Source organism: Homo sapiens, chromosome X, assembly GCF_000001405.40.
Source record: "Homo sapiens chromosome X, GRCh38.p14 Primary Assembly".
NCBI lineage: Eukaryota > Metazoa > Chordata > Mammalia > Primates > Hominidae > Homo > Homo sapiens.
In genome coordinates, this window is record NC_000023.11 from 103226300 (window position 1) to 103243861 (window position 17562).

The following is a 17562-nucleotide window of genomic DNA, read 5'->3' on the forward strand; positions in this document are numbered from 1 at the left end:
GGAAGGAGGGAGACGTTCAAGAGAAAAAGAAATTGGGTACTATGCTTAGTACCCAGGTGACAAAATAATCTGTACACCAAACTCCCAAGTCACAAGTATACTTGTATAACAAACCTGCACATCTAACCCTGAACCTAAAATAATAGTTAAAAAAAAAAGAATAAAATACCAAAACAGTTTGCCACTTTCAGTTCTTTCAGTCTGTATCTACATGGGAGTAATTATTTTAGCTTTATTGGGGTATAATTAAAGTTTACAAAGCACATATTTAAAGCATTCAGTTTAACCTATTTTATCTATATTTAAGCCTATGAAACCATGACCGCAATCAAAATAGCAAAACTAAAAATTTTAAAAATTAGCAAAATAGCAAACACTTTAATCACCTCCAAAAGACTCTTTTTTTCCCATTTGCAATCCATCCCTCCCTCCATCTTCAAGCCTAGACAACCTCTGATCTGTTTTTTGTCACTTTAGTTTGGATTTTATAGTATTTTTAAATAAATTGAATCATAGAGCATATACTCTCTTTTTTTCTGACTTTATTCATTGATCGTAATAACTTTGCATGTAATAATAGTGTATTCCTTTCTATTGCTGAATAGAAATATGTTGAATGCTTATCCATTTATCTGTTGATGTACATTTAAGTACTTTCCAATTTTTGGCTATTGCAAATAAAGCTAATATGAACATGCACATACAAATGTTTGTGTGGACATATCTTTTTATTTTTCTTGAGTAAATACCTAGGAATGAAATGGCTACATTATATAGAAGATGTATGTCTAATTTTTAAGAAACTGCCAAACTGTTTTCCAAGATGATTTTGCAATTTATATTCCTATAAGTAGAGTGGGGAAGTTCCAATTTCTCCACATCCTCACCAACACTTAATAAGGTCAGGTCATTTTTGTTAATATTTAAAATTTTTCAACCATTCTAAATTGTATATAGTGGTATCTTATGGTTTTGATTTTCATTTCTTTGTTGAGTAATGAGACTTAGCATCTTTTCATGTACTCAGCCTTTCATATATCTTCTTGTGAATTACACGTTCAAACAGTTTTCTATTTTTTAGTTAGTTCATTTTTCCTATTATCACTGAGTTGCAACAGTTCTTTATAAATTCTAGATTAAAGTTTTTTGTCTAATATATAAACTGCAATTTTTTCTGTTGGTCTTGCCTTGCCTTTTAATTTACTTAATGATTTCTTTCAAAGTTTTAAATCTTTATGAAGCAGAAAGGTCAGAAAAGCAGAACTGCTGGGGATGTGCCCCACTAGTATGGCTATTATCAAAACAAAGAAAGAAAGAAACAGTAGTGGGTGTTGATGAGGATGTGGAGAAATTGTAACCCTCATACATTGCTAGTGGGAATGTATTATTCAGTCGCTGTGAAAACAATTTGGTAGTCCTTCCAAAAGTTATACACAGAACTATCATGTGATCCAGCAATTCTATTCATAGGTATGTATTCAAAAGAATTGAAATATATGTCCAGACAAAACTTGTGCACAAATGTTCATAACATTACTCACAGTAACCCCCAAAATGCCAACAACAAAAAAGGCAATCAATAGATAAGCTAGTAAACAAAATGTGGTGTATACATACAATGAATTTTTAGTAATAAAAACGAATGGAGCACTGATATATACTGTAACATAAATGAACTTTGAAAATATTATGCTAAGTGAAAGAAGCCAGACACAAAATGTCACATGTTGTATGATTCTATAAGGGATCTTCAAAAAGTTCATGAAAAATGCATATTATGAAAAAACTATGCATATATTTAAAAATGTTTTCACACCAAAATAAACTCATACTAAGTTGTTATAAGATGTCTGAATGAGATCTAGTTTGAGGTACTAAAGATAAGAAATCAGTTTGAAAAAGCCCCTATCAGAGCAACATGAATTCTGCTAAAATTGAAGCAAGAACAAACATCAGATTTATGGTGAAGCTTGGGGGAAAGAATCCTGAAATCACTGATCCTTTACAAAAACTTTAGGGGGACAATGCCTGAAATAAATTGGCAGTTCACAAACGGATAACTCATTTTAGGAAGGGACTAGAAAATGTTGAAGATGAAGCCTGCAGTGGCAAACCACCCACTTCATACCTTCACATCAATTTGTGAGGAAAAAGATAATCTCATTCATGCCCTGATTGAAGAGAACTGACAATTAACAGCAGAAACAATATATGGATACCATATAATAAAAATTTGTAATGAATAATCTCATCATCTAAGAATTAGGAATATAAGCTACAATCCCAGTTCTACCATTTATTAGGTGTATGATCTTGAAAAAGTTTTCTGAGTCTCAGTTTTCTCATGTATCCATTGAGACCAATGATATTTAACTGTGGCTGCAGGTTCTTTGGAGAAGACTATTCCCAGTACATACTTATGATGTTATAGTAACGTCCTCTCTCAAGGGGCTCTGGGTATGATAGTTGAACTGACTTGGGTCTTGTAATTAAGAGAGAACCTAGACTATCTAGTAGCTTATACCAGCTCTCTGTTTGCCATGATTAGGAGTTTTTGATCACCCAATCAAGTAAAAAATTAGTGGGCCGCCTGTATTAGTCAGAGTTCTCTAAAGAAACAGAAATAATAAGATAGATATATATATATAAAGGGGAGTTTATTAAGGAGTTTTGACTCACATGATCACAAGGTGAGGTCCCATAATAGGCCATCTGCAAGCTGAGGAGCAAGGAAGCTAGTCTGAGTCCCGAAACCTCAAAAGTATGGAAGCCGACAGTGCAGCCTTCAATCTGTGGTAAAAGGCCCAAGAATCCCATAGCTGAAGAACTTGGAGTCTAATGTTTGAGGGCAGGAAGCGTCCAGCATGGGAGAAAGATGTAGGCAGGGAGACTAAACCAGTCTAGTCTTTACATGTTCTTCTGCCTGCTTTTATTCTGGCCGCGCTGGCAGCTGATTGATTGTGCCCACCCAGATTGAGGTGGGTCTGCCTTTCCCAGTCCACTGACTCACTCAAATGTTAATTTCCTTTGGCAATACCCTCACAGACACATCCAGGAACAATACTTTGCATCCTTCAATACACTCAAGTTGACACTGAATATTAACCATCACACCACCTATCCATTTCTCTCCTAGTAGATGACAAGGTAGGCTAATTACTGTACAATCATTTCCAAAATCTCAGAGGCTTAGCAAACTTAAATTTTAATTTTCATTCAGATAGTAGTTCAATGCAGGTGGGATAGGATGGGACCAGCTCCATGCAATCGTTTAGGGACCATGGTGGCAGGAAGATTCACAATCTGTAAATGTGATTTCCAAGGTTGCCTTGGGTGTTTACATTCATCAGGAAAACAGAGGAAGGGAGAAGACTCATGGAAGATTATGTTGGAGTTTTCATATGGAAGAGACATGAAATTGGTAAATATAACTTCTGCTCACATTCCAATGGCCAGAAATCAGTCACCTAACTGCAACACAGTCTGGGAAAAGCAGTACCTGAGTATGAAACTCAGAGAAAAATGGAACATAATTTAGTTAACAAACATACTGTCTCTACCATCGTATCACAGGATCAGTTAGCTGTGGATAAAAATTCCTCCAACTCAAATTATTCTGTCTAGCATGACATTCCTGGTGCATATTAAGGTAACCAGGCCTTCCTTGGTTAATCATCCAGGTGATTAAGTTCAGCTTCTTAATTTACTTTACATGAGATCCTGGCATCACTACTGAAATCAAGATGACATATCAAGCTTTAGAGTCACTCTCAGCATCCTCTGCCTAAGGAGAATAGCCATGTTAAGAACTTTAAAAATATACTTGCCTGTTCATTACTCAATTTGCTGTTAGCAGTAACATCGTATGGCCCTCTCTCTGGACATAGTTAGGAAGTAGATGTACTCATAATACATGATAAATACACAATAACATTCCCTTTTCCATGATTCTTTAGGTTCTTGCCTCTACAGCATACTAAGCAATCTCTTGTATACCAATCTCGTTTAGTGTGATCCATCAGAAACCCATATTTCAGTCAACCAACTGAGCAAACAATTAGAATCCAGCTGCGTGAGATAACAGATTGGATTTAGAATCTCTGCTGTATGCACAAATATTGATTAATAGCTAATGATTATTATATATAACAATATATATTATATAATAATAAAATTATTATTAATAGCTAATTAATATTAAATAATAATTTAACAAATTATTAGGCACTTATTATGTGCCTGGTGCTGTCCTAGGTGTTGAGGTTTACAGGACTGAACAAAACAAAACAAAACAAAATATCCCAGTCTTCTTGGAACTTAAGTTCTTATTGAAGAGACAACAAAAGAAGGCTTGTGAGGAAACAGCTGAAGGAGGTGAGGGAGTGATACAGGTGAATATCTCAGGGTAGATTTCTAGGCAGAATAAATAACAAATGCAGTGGCTCTAAGTTGAAAGGATGCCTGACCACAGTAGCTAAAATTATGTTCCTTCCTACCTTTAGCTAATATCCTCAGAAACTATTCTCAAACATATTCTGGAGATTATTGGCAATGTGGCAAATACATTAAACAAGCAGAATCTGTAGGATGAATAATATACCAACTTTTTTTTCCTGCTGCCTATGCAAACCTGTTCTTTGGAACTAGTTCTACTCTTGTCCCCTGGGTGAAATCTAGGGTATGCTCCATAACTTTTCTGCCTGCTCATGTAAAGTAAAAATCCTCCTGTCAGTTCTAGTCATAAAACAGTTTCTGTTCAATGAGGGCAGAGAGGAGGTGAGAAGAAATTAAAATCTTATATAATTGACACTGTTATAGCCATCCAGTATTGGCACTTTCTATGACTCCTTCTCTTGTGTGACATTTTTCAGAGTACTATAGGGAGTCTCCCATTGTTGAGGAGCTCTCCCTTGCTGTTCTCTTGAAAAACATATCCCTGGGCTAGTTGCTTTTGACTCCTTATTTAGCCTTTAACCTTCCAGCAGTATATCTCCAGGTTGTTTATTTTAAGGTGTTTTTTTTTCTTCTCCAAAAGACCATCATGATCTAAATCTATGACATCTCCAAGCTACTTCTGTCTTCCATATGGCCCATGTCAAGTCCACGGGAAGCACTTACACATCCTTTGCCCAAAATGGCTCTCAAATTCAAAGAGTCCAGGCTCTCCCCAAACTTTCTTCACTCTGATATCAAGGTAGCTGGTCAGCCAGTCTCTTGTTTTTTGGATTTCTCAGGGATAATTCGGATGCTTACTATGTTATCAAGTTCCAGGAGCTCTGAATCGCCAAATTGAAGATTTTTGCCTCAAGCTTGATGTGATATGAAAAGCCCCTTGCCTTCCTTATGTGGGGGCACTCATGGAATACCAACAGCTCTCATTAGAAACTCCTTTCCAGGCCAGGTGCAGTGGTTCATGCCTGTAATCCCAGCACTTTGGGAGGCCAAGGCAGGTGGATCACTTGAGCTCACAAGTTGGAGACCAGCCTGGGCAACATAGTGAAACCCCATCTCTAAAACAAGAACAACACCAACAAAAACCCACAAAAATTAGCCAGCTGTGGTGGTGCAAGACTGTAGTCCCAGCTACTTGGGAGGCTGAGGTGGGAGGATGGCTTGAGCCTGGGAGGTGGAGGTTGCAGTGAGCTGAGATTGTGCCACTGCACTCCAGCTTTTTTTGTTTTGTTTTGTTTTGTTTTTGTCTCAACAGGAAAAAAACAAACAAACAAACTTTCTTTTAATCTCCAGCAATCTTCTTGGCCTCTCAAATGTCTTTTGTAGGCTGCAAGTCGGTGGTTATTTAAGTGCAACAAAATCAGTGCTCATTCATGTCCATTGCAAAACCTGCTTTTATTACCTTACTCTCCACTTTGGAATTTAGCAGTAGTTGACACCCAGTTGTCTTGGGGTCCCAACCAAAAATGAGGCTGAAATAGGTAAGGTTATATTTCCCATTATAACAATATAAATATTAAAAAGCTTGTAATGTATCTGGTGTGTGAGCTATTTGATTTTCTAATTTCAATCTTCCCACTTTCCCACACTCCAGCATACTGGGATTTGATTCTAATTACAGATTTAGAGAAAATAAGTACATCTGTGGGGCAATGAAGAGGGAATGAGGACAATTGGTCTCCCTTACAAGGGACCTTGAGGCAGGTTGTTATGGATCTTCAAACAAAGTAGGAACAGCCTCACTCATATAGAGGAAGAGGAGCTGATTTAGCTGGTAAGGAAGACCTAATCAGGGTTGAAACTAGGGATATTCTGAAGCAGAGTTCCATTTTCCCCCTTCTCTATCTTGGCTTCCTCTTCCTTGTACTACCTATTTCTTAAGGCCCAGTCCTGATCATAGGGTGTCGCCAACTAGAAGCAATCTCTTCCATTTCTGTCATTGATGCACAGCACATGGGGCCTTGACCTCTTCTGTGGCCTTTAACAAAGGCTGCCCTGTCTCTTTCATCTTAGGTGTGTGTGTGTGCGCGTGCGTGCATGCATGCGTGTGTGTGTGTGTAGAGAGAGAGAGCCCATCTCCTCAGAAAGTTAGGTGCCAGGGTAGTAGGCAGGTGCCCACTCTCATTCTGCTTTAGTAGCATCTATAATGTTTACTTGGTGTGTCTCCAGAAATCTCAGAGGCTTGAGAGAAGCTATTTGCTGATTGGCTCACAAATATCCCTTTTTACTTCCTGCACCAAGTTAAAAACAAAGATTCTATTGACTCCTCTGCTGCTTACATGTAGTCAGAGGCAACCTTACCATCATTTTAATGGAGTTATTGACAGAAGATATCCTCAATTGGGCATGAAGATGGTGATCCGTTTGTGATCAAGTGCTGTTTTGTGAGCAGTTTCACCACACGTGGGCTATACTTACTTTTGAATTTAACTTAAGCCCAATGCTGCTTATATCTTTTAGTTTGGTAATGTAGTTACATAGTTCAGTCATAAAACAGAACTAAATGTTTGTTTTTCTTGTCCTCAGCCCTTCCCTTCCCTTCCTCAACAATTCAGTCCCAACACTGTCAGATGGGGAAGGTCAAGGTAAGTGTCTTTATCAGATGAGAGGAGGGAGCTGTGTTTGCCTGAGCAGGGTGAGGAAGGCATTCATGCTGGGAGAGCAGCTTATCGCAGGGAGTCAGAGCCTAAAAATTATGATGAGGGCTTCCCAGACAGGAGACAGCCAAGTGAGAGATATTGGAGTTTTATCTGGTTGAAGAGTGTGTCCATGTGGAGGAAGTGTGTGGCAGACTGGAGCGGGGTTTCAGAGTCTGAGCAGGTTAAGAAGCATGTCCATGCTGCTAACAGTGTGAGGAAGGTACCTGTATGGTAGGAGTTGGGTAGGGAGGAAGTCTGTTGCACTACTTCTCAGCCAGAACAGGTTTACAAAGTGGGTTGGAAAACAGGGACTGTAATCCACAGTTGGGAGGATGTCAAGTGGAGCTTCCAAGCAGGGAACGAGGAGTGCAGGAAATGGGAGATTGTTTACATATAGGGGGATTGGTCAAGTAAAGGTAATGGGATCCAAGGTTCTCATTGTCATTGAAGAGAGTTACAAATATAGAAAGGGAGAAAACTAGAATGAACCTGGTGGTATTGTATTGGAGTTAGGTATCAGTGTGAAGTCATGGCTTCAATGGATACAGATACAGAAATATAGATGTAAATGTGTGAATGTATATGAGTGTGAGAATTTGTGTGTGTGTCTCTCTGTGTATATACAAATATTGCCTGATTCCTTCCACTTAGAGGGCCTGGGAGTCACAACACCCCAATAGCAATAAGCACAACTAATTGTTCATATCTTGCTTTCAAAATGCCATTATTAAATAAAAGGAACAAGGAATCCTTGGAGAATTGTTGGATGGGACAGGAAAATAACGCAATGAATCTGGAACATCTTGCTGTGCCAGAAAGCAAAGTGCTAAAGAAATGATGGAGGCATACCAAAAGGACGTGGAAGCAAGCCTGAAGAAGCTTCTACAAGTCAAGTAGGAGACACTGTGAGCATCAAAATAAAGAAATATAGAACACAGTATAGCTTGTTGAATCAAAAAAAGAAAACATAAGTCAGTATATAAATAAATATACATATATAAATACACAATAAATATTTACATAATTTCAAAATTCCTCACCATAAAATATTAATAATTACCATGGAAAAACGAGTACCGAAATGGCCTGGAAATCACTATCTTAAACAAATGGTCAATGAGGATATTATAAGTAATGGGACAAACCAAAATTCTGTGCCACCTGATAGGACAGAAAGAGAATACTATAGGCCAGGCGCGGTGGCTCACTCCTGTAATCCCAGCACTTTGGGAGGCCGAGGCAGGCGGATCACGAGATCAGCAGATAGAGACCATCCTGGCTAACACGGTGAAACCCCATCTCTACTAAAAATACAAAAAATTAGCCGGGTGTGGTCACTGGCTCCTGTAGTTCCAGCTACTCGGGAGGCTGAGGCAGGAGAATGGCGTGAACCTGCGAGGCAGAGCTTGCAGTGAGCAGAGATCATGCCACTGCACTCCAGCCTGGGCCACTGAGCGAGACTCCGTCTCAAAAAAAAAAGAGAGAATACTACAACATCACTTTGGTAATAGTCCTGCCAAAGATGCATAACTTGAATCCATTCAAGAGGAAATAGGAAGCAAATCCAAAATAAGGGACATTCTAGAAAATAACAACTGTAAGATCATGAAAGTCAACAAAAGCCTAAGGACATACTCTATATGAAAGGATAATAAAGAGTCACCAATTAAATGCAACAGGTGATTGTGAACTGGATCCTTTTGCTATAAAGAACATTGCTGGAATAACGTGAAAATTTATTGGGTTCTAAGTTTAGATGGCAATAATATATCAATGTTAATTTTTAAAATTTTGATCATCATATTGCAGTTATATAGGAAAATGTCTCTTTGGGGGAAATATGCACTAAAGACATTTGGGATTATATTTAGTTTCTATCGCAGGTAACATATTACAACACACTAAGCAGCTTGAAACAACACTCATTTATTAACTCATAGTTCTGCAAGTCAGTATTCTGGGTAGCCTCAGCTGGTTTTCTGCTTAGGGTCTCCCAAGACTGAAATCAAGTTGTTGGCTGTCCTGGGCTATTATCTGGAGGGCCAGGAGAAGAATCCCCTTCTAAGATCATTCAGGTTGTTTGCAGAACTCAGTTCCTTGCAGTTGTAGAACTGATGGCTCCATTTCTTTGCTGGTTTTTGACAGGCAGCTGCTCTCAGCTCCTAGAGGCTTCTTTCTGGTCCTTGCATGTGGCCCCCTCCACCTTCAAGGCCAGCAATGGAGATGCATTCAACCCTTATCATGATTCAAATCTCTCTGACTTCCCTTTCTGCCATCAGCCAGATAAAACTTTCTCCTTTTAAAGAGCTTAGGGGCTTAGATTAGGCCTACCCAGATAATTTCCTTTTTGCTGTGTCATGTAACATAGTGATAGGAGTAACCCCAGGAGGTGAAAGTCATAGGGATTATCTTAAAATTCTGCCTCTCATAGGATAGATGGGACATCAGGCTGGCAACTTACCTTCAAATAATTCAGGGAAAAAAATTTCTGTACTGTCCCCGCAATTTTTTATAAGTTTGTTATTTTTTTCCTCCAAAATAAAAAAAAAAAACAGTAAATATAAAAATTTGTACAGCGAAGTTCTGGTTCTAGGTATCATGGAATAAACACATTTCAACTTTCTCTAGCAGTGAACACAGCTATGAAAACCAGACAGAATGTGTGGTGTAGATATTTGAGGTATCTGAAAAGTAAATATGAACTAGAAGATGTATTGGAGAAGAAGATCAGTATTTGAAGTACCCACCTTTGGAAACTGGGAATGGCGCTTAGCTTTAAAGTCTGTCAGATATTTAGAACATCTATGTTGTTGATTTGCCCAAGAAAACAGAGATCTCAGTTCTACAAACACAAGGATTTGAATTTTGCCAACAACTTCAATGAGGAAGGAATAGATGTTTCCCTAGAGCCCCCAGAAAGAAATGAGACATCTTGGTCTCTTCCTGGTGAGACCTATGTTGTTCTGACCTAGATAATTGTAAGATAATATATTTATATTGTTTAAGATGTTAAGCTTGTAGTAATTTCTTATGACAGCAATATAAAACCAATACAGAAGAAGAGGAAATACTTCCCAACTGATTTTACAGCCCTAACATTACCCTGACACCAGTCAAGACAAATAATAGTGCAAATAAAGAAAACTAAGACAAATATCCCTTGTATTAGTCAGGGTTCTCTAGAGGGACAGGACTAACAGGATATAGGTATATATGAAAGGGAGTTTATTATTTATTCATTTATTATTATTTTTTGAGACAGAGTCTCATTCTGTTGCCCAGGCTGGAGTGCAGTGGCACGATCTTGGCTCACTGAAACCTCCACCTCCCGGGTTCAAGCGATTCTTCTGCCTCAGCCTCCCGAGTAGCTGGGATTACAGGTGCATGCCACTACACCCGGCTAATTTTTGTATTTTTAGTAGAAACAGGGTTACACCATGTTGGCCAGGCTTGTCTCGAACTCCTGACCTCGTGATCCGTCCACCTCGGCCTCCCAAAGTGCTGAGATTACAGGTCTGAGCCGCCACACCAGGCCAAGGGAGTTTATTGAGTATTGACTCACAAGATCACAAGAAGTCCCACAATAGGCCTTCTGCAAGCTGAGGAGCAAGGAAGCCAGCCCGAGTCCCAAACCCTTAAAAGTAGGGAAGCCAACAGTGCAGCTTTCAGTCTGTGGCCTAAGGCCCAAGAGCCCCTGGCAAACCACTGGTGTAGGTCCAAGAGTCCAAAAGCTGAAGAACTTGGAGTCCAGTGTTCGAGGGCAGGAAGCATTCAGCATGGGAGAAAGATGGAGGCCAGAAGACTTAGCTAGTCTAGTCCTTCCACATTCCTCTGCCTGCTTTTATCCTATATGCACTGGCAGCTGATTAAATAGTGTCCACCCAGATTGAGGGTGGGTCTGCCTCTCCTAGTCCACTGACTCAAATGTTAATATCCTTTGGCAGTACCCTCACAGACACACCCAGAAACAATACTTTGCATCCTTCAATCCAATCAAGTTGATACTCAATATTAACCACCACATCCCTCATATTACCAGACTGAATTTGTCAATATATAAAAGAAATAATTTACCACAACCAAGTGGGATTTATCCCAGGAATGAAGGCCAGTTCAATAGTTGAAAATCAATCAATACAATCTAGTCTAAAGAAGAAAAACCACATGAGCATAGTCATCGATGCAAAGAAGTCTTTTGATAAAATTCAACTTTTATTAATGATAACAACTCTCAGCAAACTATGAGTAGAAGTAAACTTCTTCAACCTGGTGAGATGCTTCTACAAAAAAATCCTCAAGCTAACATAATATTTAATGGTAAGAGACCAGATTCTTTCCCCCATGACTGGAAACACGGCAAAGGTATCCGTTCTGAGCACTCTTATTTGACATCATAACAGAAGTCTCATCCAGTGCAACAAAGGAAGAAAAAGAAATAAAAGGCAGACAAATTGGAAAGTAAAAGTAAATTTTTTTATTTGCAGTTGACATGATTGTCTATGTAGAAAATCCCAAGAAATACAGGTTTGAAAAGAAGGAATCAAATGAAACAACTAGATGCATGTCCAAAATACAAACTTCAATACATGCCTCACAGCTTATAGAAAAATTTACTAAAAATGCATCATATATTGAAATGTAAATGTATTAAGTATAAATTAAAAACAGAAACTGTAAATGTAAAACATAAACAGTGTTGTAACTTCTAGAAGAAAATGTAGAAAAACTGTGTGATCTTGGCTTTGACAATGATTGTTCAGGTATAACACCAAAAGCATTATCCATAAAAGAAAAACAAAGACAAATTGGACTTTAGGAAAATTAAAAGCTTTTGTTTTATAAATGACACTGTTAATTGGAACCAACCCAAATGTCCAACAATGAGAGACTGGATTAAGAAAATGTGGCACATATACACCATGGAATACTATGCAGCCATAAAAAATGATGAGTTCATGTCCTTTGTAGGGACATGGATGAAATTGAAAATCATCATTCTCAGTAAACTATCGCAAGAACAAAAAACCAAACACCGCATATTCTCACTCATAGGTGGGAATTGAACAATGAGATCACATGGACACAGGAAGGGGAACATCACACTCTGGGGACTGTTGTGGGGTGGGGGGGGGGGAGGGATAGCTTTAGGAGATATACCTAATGTTAAATGACGAGTTAATGGGTGCAGCACACCAGCATGGCACATGTATACATATGTAACTAACCTGCACATTGTGCACATGTACCTTAAAACTTAAAGTATAATAATAATAAAATAAAAAAATAAAAAATAAAAAATGAATTTGAAAAAATATATAAAATGAAAAAAGAAAAAAAAGAAAAAAAAATGACACTGTTAAGAGAGTGAAAAGATAAGCCACACTGGCAAAAGTGTTTGCAGATTACATATTTTATAAACGACTTGTGTCCTGGATATGTAAAAAACTCATAAAACTTAACCAACATAAAACAAACCAATTAAAAAATTGTCAAAATATCTGAACAGTCACTTTAACCAAAAAAGACATACAGATTGCAAATAAACAGAAATGAAAACATGTTTAATATTGTTAGTCATTAGGGAAATTCATATTAAAACTACAATTAGTTATCAGCACAGACCTATAAGAATGGATCAAATAAAAACAATCTTCCACGATTGCAAATGCTGGTGAGGATGTGGAACAAGAGGAACTCTGATTTATTGCTGGTGGGAATGCAAAACTCTCACCAGCAGCATACAATAATTCTGTTTACTGACACCCAGACAAGCACAGAATCTTATCAGTTTTTTAAATTGTTTCTGATTTAAGAGGCAAAGGAAGAATTTTGTTTGTTTCCATTTGCATTTCTTCCATTGTCAGAGTTTCTGTTTGTTTACTGGCCCTTTATGTTTCCCTTATTTAAATGTCCTATTCATATCCCTTGTCCATTTTACTCTTTAGTTGTAAAAGCTGCCGAAATAGTAAGGTTATTAGCCCAAATCTGTAATACATGTTGTAAATACTGCATTGCATTGTTTATTTGTAGTTTAACATGCATTATGGTATTATTTTTAAGGCATTTGTAATATTTGGTATGGCATTTTCAGATTATAATATTAACACATGATTATGGCAAAAAAGAAAATTTGAATATGTTAATTGTAAAAAAGAAATCAAATACTGGTGTGTACTAAAACCTTTTCTAATATTCTAATTGTAAAAGCCACTGATTTGGCACTGAGGGTGCAACAGGACATAGTTGTTAAGAAGTGTGACTTTAGATTTAGGCAACTTGGGTTCAATTATTGTCTAGCACAATTCACTTAACTTCTTTGTCCTCCAGCTGCCTTTATTTGTAAAAAGTAATTCTAACATATTTCAATGGGCTGTTGTTAAAATTAATTTATTTTATTCATTTATTCAACAAACTTAATGAGTGCCTACCAATTACCAGGCACTATTTTAGGCTAGTAGTTCTTTAAATGTAAGAGTACACACACACACACACACACACACACACACACACACACACATACATATGTATATATGAGATGATTTCAACTTAAGGAAACAGGCAAATAAGGCTATGTATGTCAGAGTGGCAGGGTAGGAGCAATCCTTACTACAGCATGGTGTCTGTTGTTCAAATGTATCTGTATCATCTTCCCTACTCGCCTACCCCCAATGCATTCATCATGGAAAGGAGGGGCCTGTATGTTAAAATGATTTTTTTTTTTTTTTTGGTAATACATCAAGTCCCAAGAAACATTGGGGCAGTATCTATCTGGGTAAATACATTGTCAAAGTGGAAAGAAATACATTCCTTACTTCTTTGGCCCACCAGAGACTCCAGATAAATCAGTAAGATTTGTGTCATCTTGAAGAGTCCAATACATATGCAATATTGCCAAGCAGCACATGGCAGTTCCTTAAGTAAATTGGGAGGTGGGGTTGGGTTGTATATAGTACCAGAGGAATGAAAAACTGGTTACTCATCTCTGCTGTCTGAACTTGTTCCTAAGCATATATCTTGAATTCTATCCCCACTAATAACTGAAGGAAATCTGAAGAGAATTGAGGCTATGCATGTACTGGGGTTGGGAGAAGGGAGCTAATCAAACAGCTCATACTCATTTCAGACTCATTACTTCACTTGATCTACTCAGCAATCCTGTGGAATATTTTCCCCATACAGTACATAAAAGACGGATTGTGAAGTAAATGTATGTGCAAAATTACCTGGTTTGTACTTCTAGCCTAGAGATTCAAACATCACTTGAAATTTATCCTTTTTAAAGTTTTTTTCAAGTATTTATTAAAGTGTTCTCTATTGCCTTTATAAGCCAACTGACCTGTTACTTTTTTTCTTTTTAGACTCTTTATTAATTTTGTGACACAAGTTAAACATACTCTTTTTTTTTTTTTTTGAGACGGAGTCTCGCTCTGTCACCCAGGCGGGAGTGCAGTGGCGCGATCTCGGCTCACTGCAAGCTCCACCTCCCAGGTTCAAGCTATTCTCCTGCCTCAGCCTCCCCAGCAGCTGGGACTACAGGCACCCGCCACCACGCCTGGTTAATTTTTTTGTATTTTTAGTAGAGACGAGGTTTCACCGTGTTAGCCAGGATGGTCTGGATCTCCTGACCTCGTGCTCCTCCTCGGCCTCCCAAAGTGCTGGGATTACAGGCGTAAGCCACCGCGCCCGGCCAAGTTAAACATATTCTTTTGAAAAAATGAAAGAATACAGATATTCAAAATAAAAAATTTTCCATAAATCTGCCCCTTAGAGAGAAACCAATATTATTAAGCTTTTCGTGTACATCTTATCCAAATTTTTCTATGCACACATGTAACATATAAATATACCTATTTTAAATTGGGATATCATATATATGTGTATGTGTCTGTGTACTTGTGTGTACACACATGAACTTTTTCTATGCAAATGGAAAAAATCCAGTATTAAAATGCAGACTTGCATATGAAACCATAAAACAAAATCTAATGAGATACTGGTGACAACAAGAACATCTAAAACCAATATCATCAAAAGGTTAAAAACACAAACATGAGCGAAAGTAAGACTAGAAAATGCAACCTAAAATAAAAGTGAAGCCCTAAAAATATAAGAAAAAATAATTCAAGACAAAAAGCACTGAATTGGATAAGGCCACTTCCTGGACTGTCTTTTCATCCGATGCATTACTCTAAATTTATTTCTTAATTTTTAAAAATCTCTTCTGGACACTTTTCTTCTCCTCCTCTTTCTCCTCCTCTTTCTCCTCCTCCCCATCTCCTTCCTCCTCCTCATCCTCTTCCTCCCTCTCCCTTCATTGTTATTGACATGCCTATGGGGCAAGCCATCTCCATCTTCCTGGGTAGGTGGTGCTTGTTCCTGGAGATTATTTCCTCTAGCTTCCTGGCCTTCCATTTCTTCCAAATGTAGCTCTTCCTCTACGTTATGAACACTTTCTTCATTTTCCTGGTGGGAATTTTCCATGTCGAAAGTTGTTTTTCCCTTTTCCTCTTTGACTGCAATTACTCCTTGGAGAAAAAAGGGAGGAAATACTGAATGTGTGCTGTTCATTCCAGTACCCGTGTGTTTTCCCGAATCAGGGGGATGAGTGCAAAGGTCTCACCTTTCCTCTAATTCATTCCTCTATTCCCTCCAGGTTCTTGCCCTTCTCCCATACCTAAAGAGTACATATATATTCTCTCAGTCTCTCTCAACAATTTTTCCTTTAGACCATTCTACCAGCCTCTCCCTGGACTGAATGAAACATAAGTAGGAGCAGTGTCTCCTCCTAGTTATGTTCTGGCCTGGACCATTTCCATCCTTTCACCCCCAACCCTCAGAGGTTCTAGTCCAGAGCATGGCACATAGTGACCTGCCCAAATCCCAGTCAGTTTCGTCTTCCTCTTTCCTTTCTTGAGCCTAATAGGCATTTGGACCTGCAGAGAGAAGAAAGATAGTGGTACTGAAGTGCTTGGTGGATGGACCAGTATACTAGACAAGGGCCTCTTTGAAGACTGGACACCAAATCCCTTCAAGCCTCAAAGCTCCTCTTCCCATCCCTGTTTCATCCCCATCTCCTGCTCTAAAATGCCTACCACATTGGATTAAGGGAAATAGTTTCAATGATTTCTTAGTCTCCATTTGTCCACATCTGCACCCTCTACATAACCACCATTTCTTTTACATCCTTCCCCCTTCATCTCAATACTCCTCATCTTGGTGCTTATGCAGCACTCCCTTGCAGGCAGGGTGTAAAAGAAGTGAATTATTTACAAGCTACCCCCAGGTCTATGTGTTCCCTCCTGACCCTCTTTCTCCAGCCCTTCCCTCCATCCCAAGGCATATCATTTCTGTTTCAAAATATTGAAGAGGTGTCAAAGCAAACAGACCTGTACCTGCTTCAGTTTTTGCCTTCCTTCCCTTTCACATATACCCCCTTACACCACCACCACTGATGCACAGCTCCAAGTCCAGTTGCTCACGCAGACCTGCTCCATTCTGGGAAAGTGTCTTTCTCCCCCTCATCCTCTGGGCCAGACACTAGCCTGTCTCAACAGAAAAGGGGAGTGCTGCAAAAATAAAAAAGACCTGAATAAGAGGAATTTACTCACACCTTGGCTCCTGGTCACATGAAGGTCTCGACTAACGGCAGAGTTTAATCTCCCAACCCTCACATTCACCTCTAGGCTGGCAGGCAGTGCAACAGAAACCACCACCACACTCCCACCATACACACAGAGAGACCCACCTCCACCCCTCTGTGAACAGTGCCTCAGTGCACACCACCCTGTCACTCTGGTCTTCGCCAATCTTGAGGGGCCACAAATGGCATCACCGATGAAGGTTAGTGTTTGCCCTTCTCTGGTTATTAATGAAGGTCTGCACCCCCTATCCGACCAATCCTCCTACGCTCTACCCCACCAGGCCTTGTTTCTTGTTACCTGTCCCTCCTGTCACCACTCTTCCTCCTCACCCCACCCCAAGCCACCTGTGCCCGCCAACTTCCTTGTTTTTGTCATGCACAGTGTCAGGGATCTATAGTGTAATTTTCAGTAATTCTCAATATTTTCCTGCATAGTTTCTTTAAAAATCATAAATACAATAAAGCTATTTTCATTTGGGAGGAGAAAAGGTTTTTCTTAAGGCCTTTATTTAACATTCCACTAGCTCCAGATTCAATTTTTGCATTACTCCTTTCACATTTCTTGGTCATTGTTCTATATTTTACTTTAGAAACTTTAGTTAGAAGCAAGAGTTTTGAAAAGCAGTTCAAGTTTATGCTCTTAGGAAGAGGTAATTTATCATTAATGTAACCATGTAACCATTTCAATGTAAATGTCACCTGAAAATTGTAAGGAGGGGAGAAAGGAGAAAGACCTGAATAGAGAATGTGGCATTATTGTCACAGACATAAAGTAACTATCAAAGTAGAAAAAGATTTTACTACTGTCTCAAATCCTCAACAACCTGCATT

The 17562-nt window shown here is 38.7% G+C and overlaps 2 annotated features.

Annotated features, from left to right (window-relative positions):
• Window positions 6838-7420: a transcriptional cis regulatory region, noted in NCBI's record as "candidate enhancer chrX.1665 targeted for multiplex CRISPR interference". NCBI's record gives its function as "positively regulates BEX4 and TCEAL8 gene expression with high confidence in K562 cells {active_cell/tissue: K562}" and the evidence as "EXISTENCE:mutant phenotype evidence [ECO:0000015][PMID:30612741]".
• Window positions 9075-9654: a transcriptional cis regulatory region, noted in NCBI's record as "candidate enhancer chrX.1666 targeted for multiplex CRISPR interference". NCBI's record gives its function as "positively regulates BEX4 and TCEAL8 gene expression in K562 cells {active_cell/tissue: K562}" and the evidence as "EXISTENCE:mutant phenotype evidence [ECO:0000015][PMID:30612741]".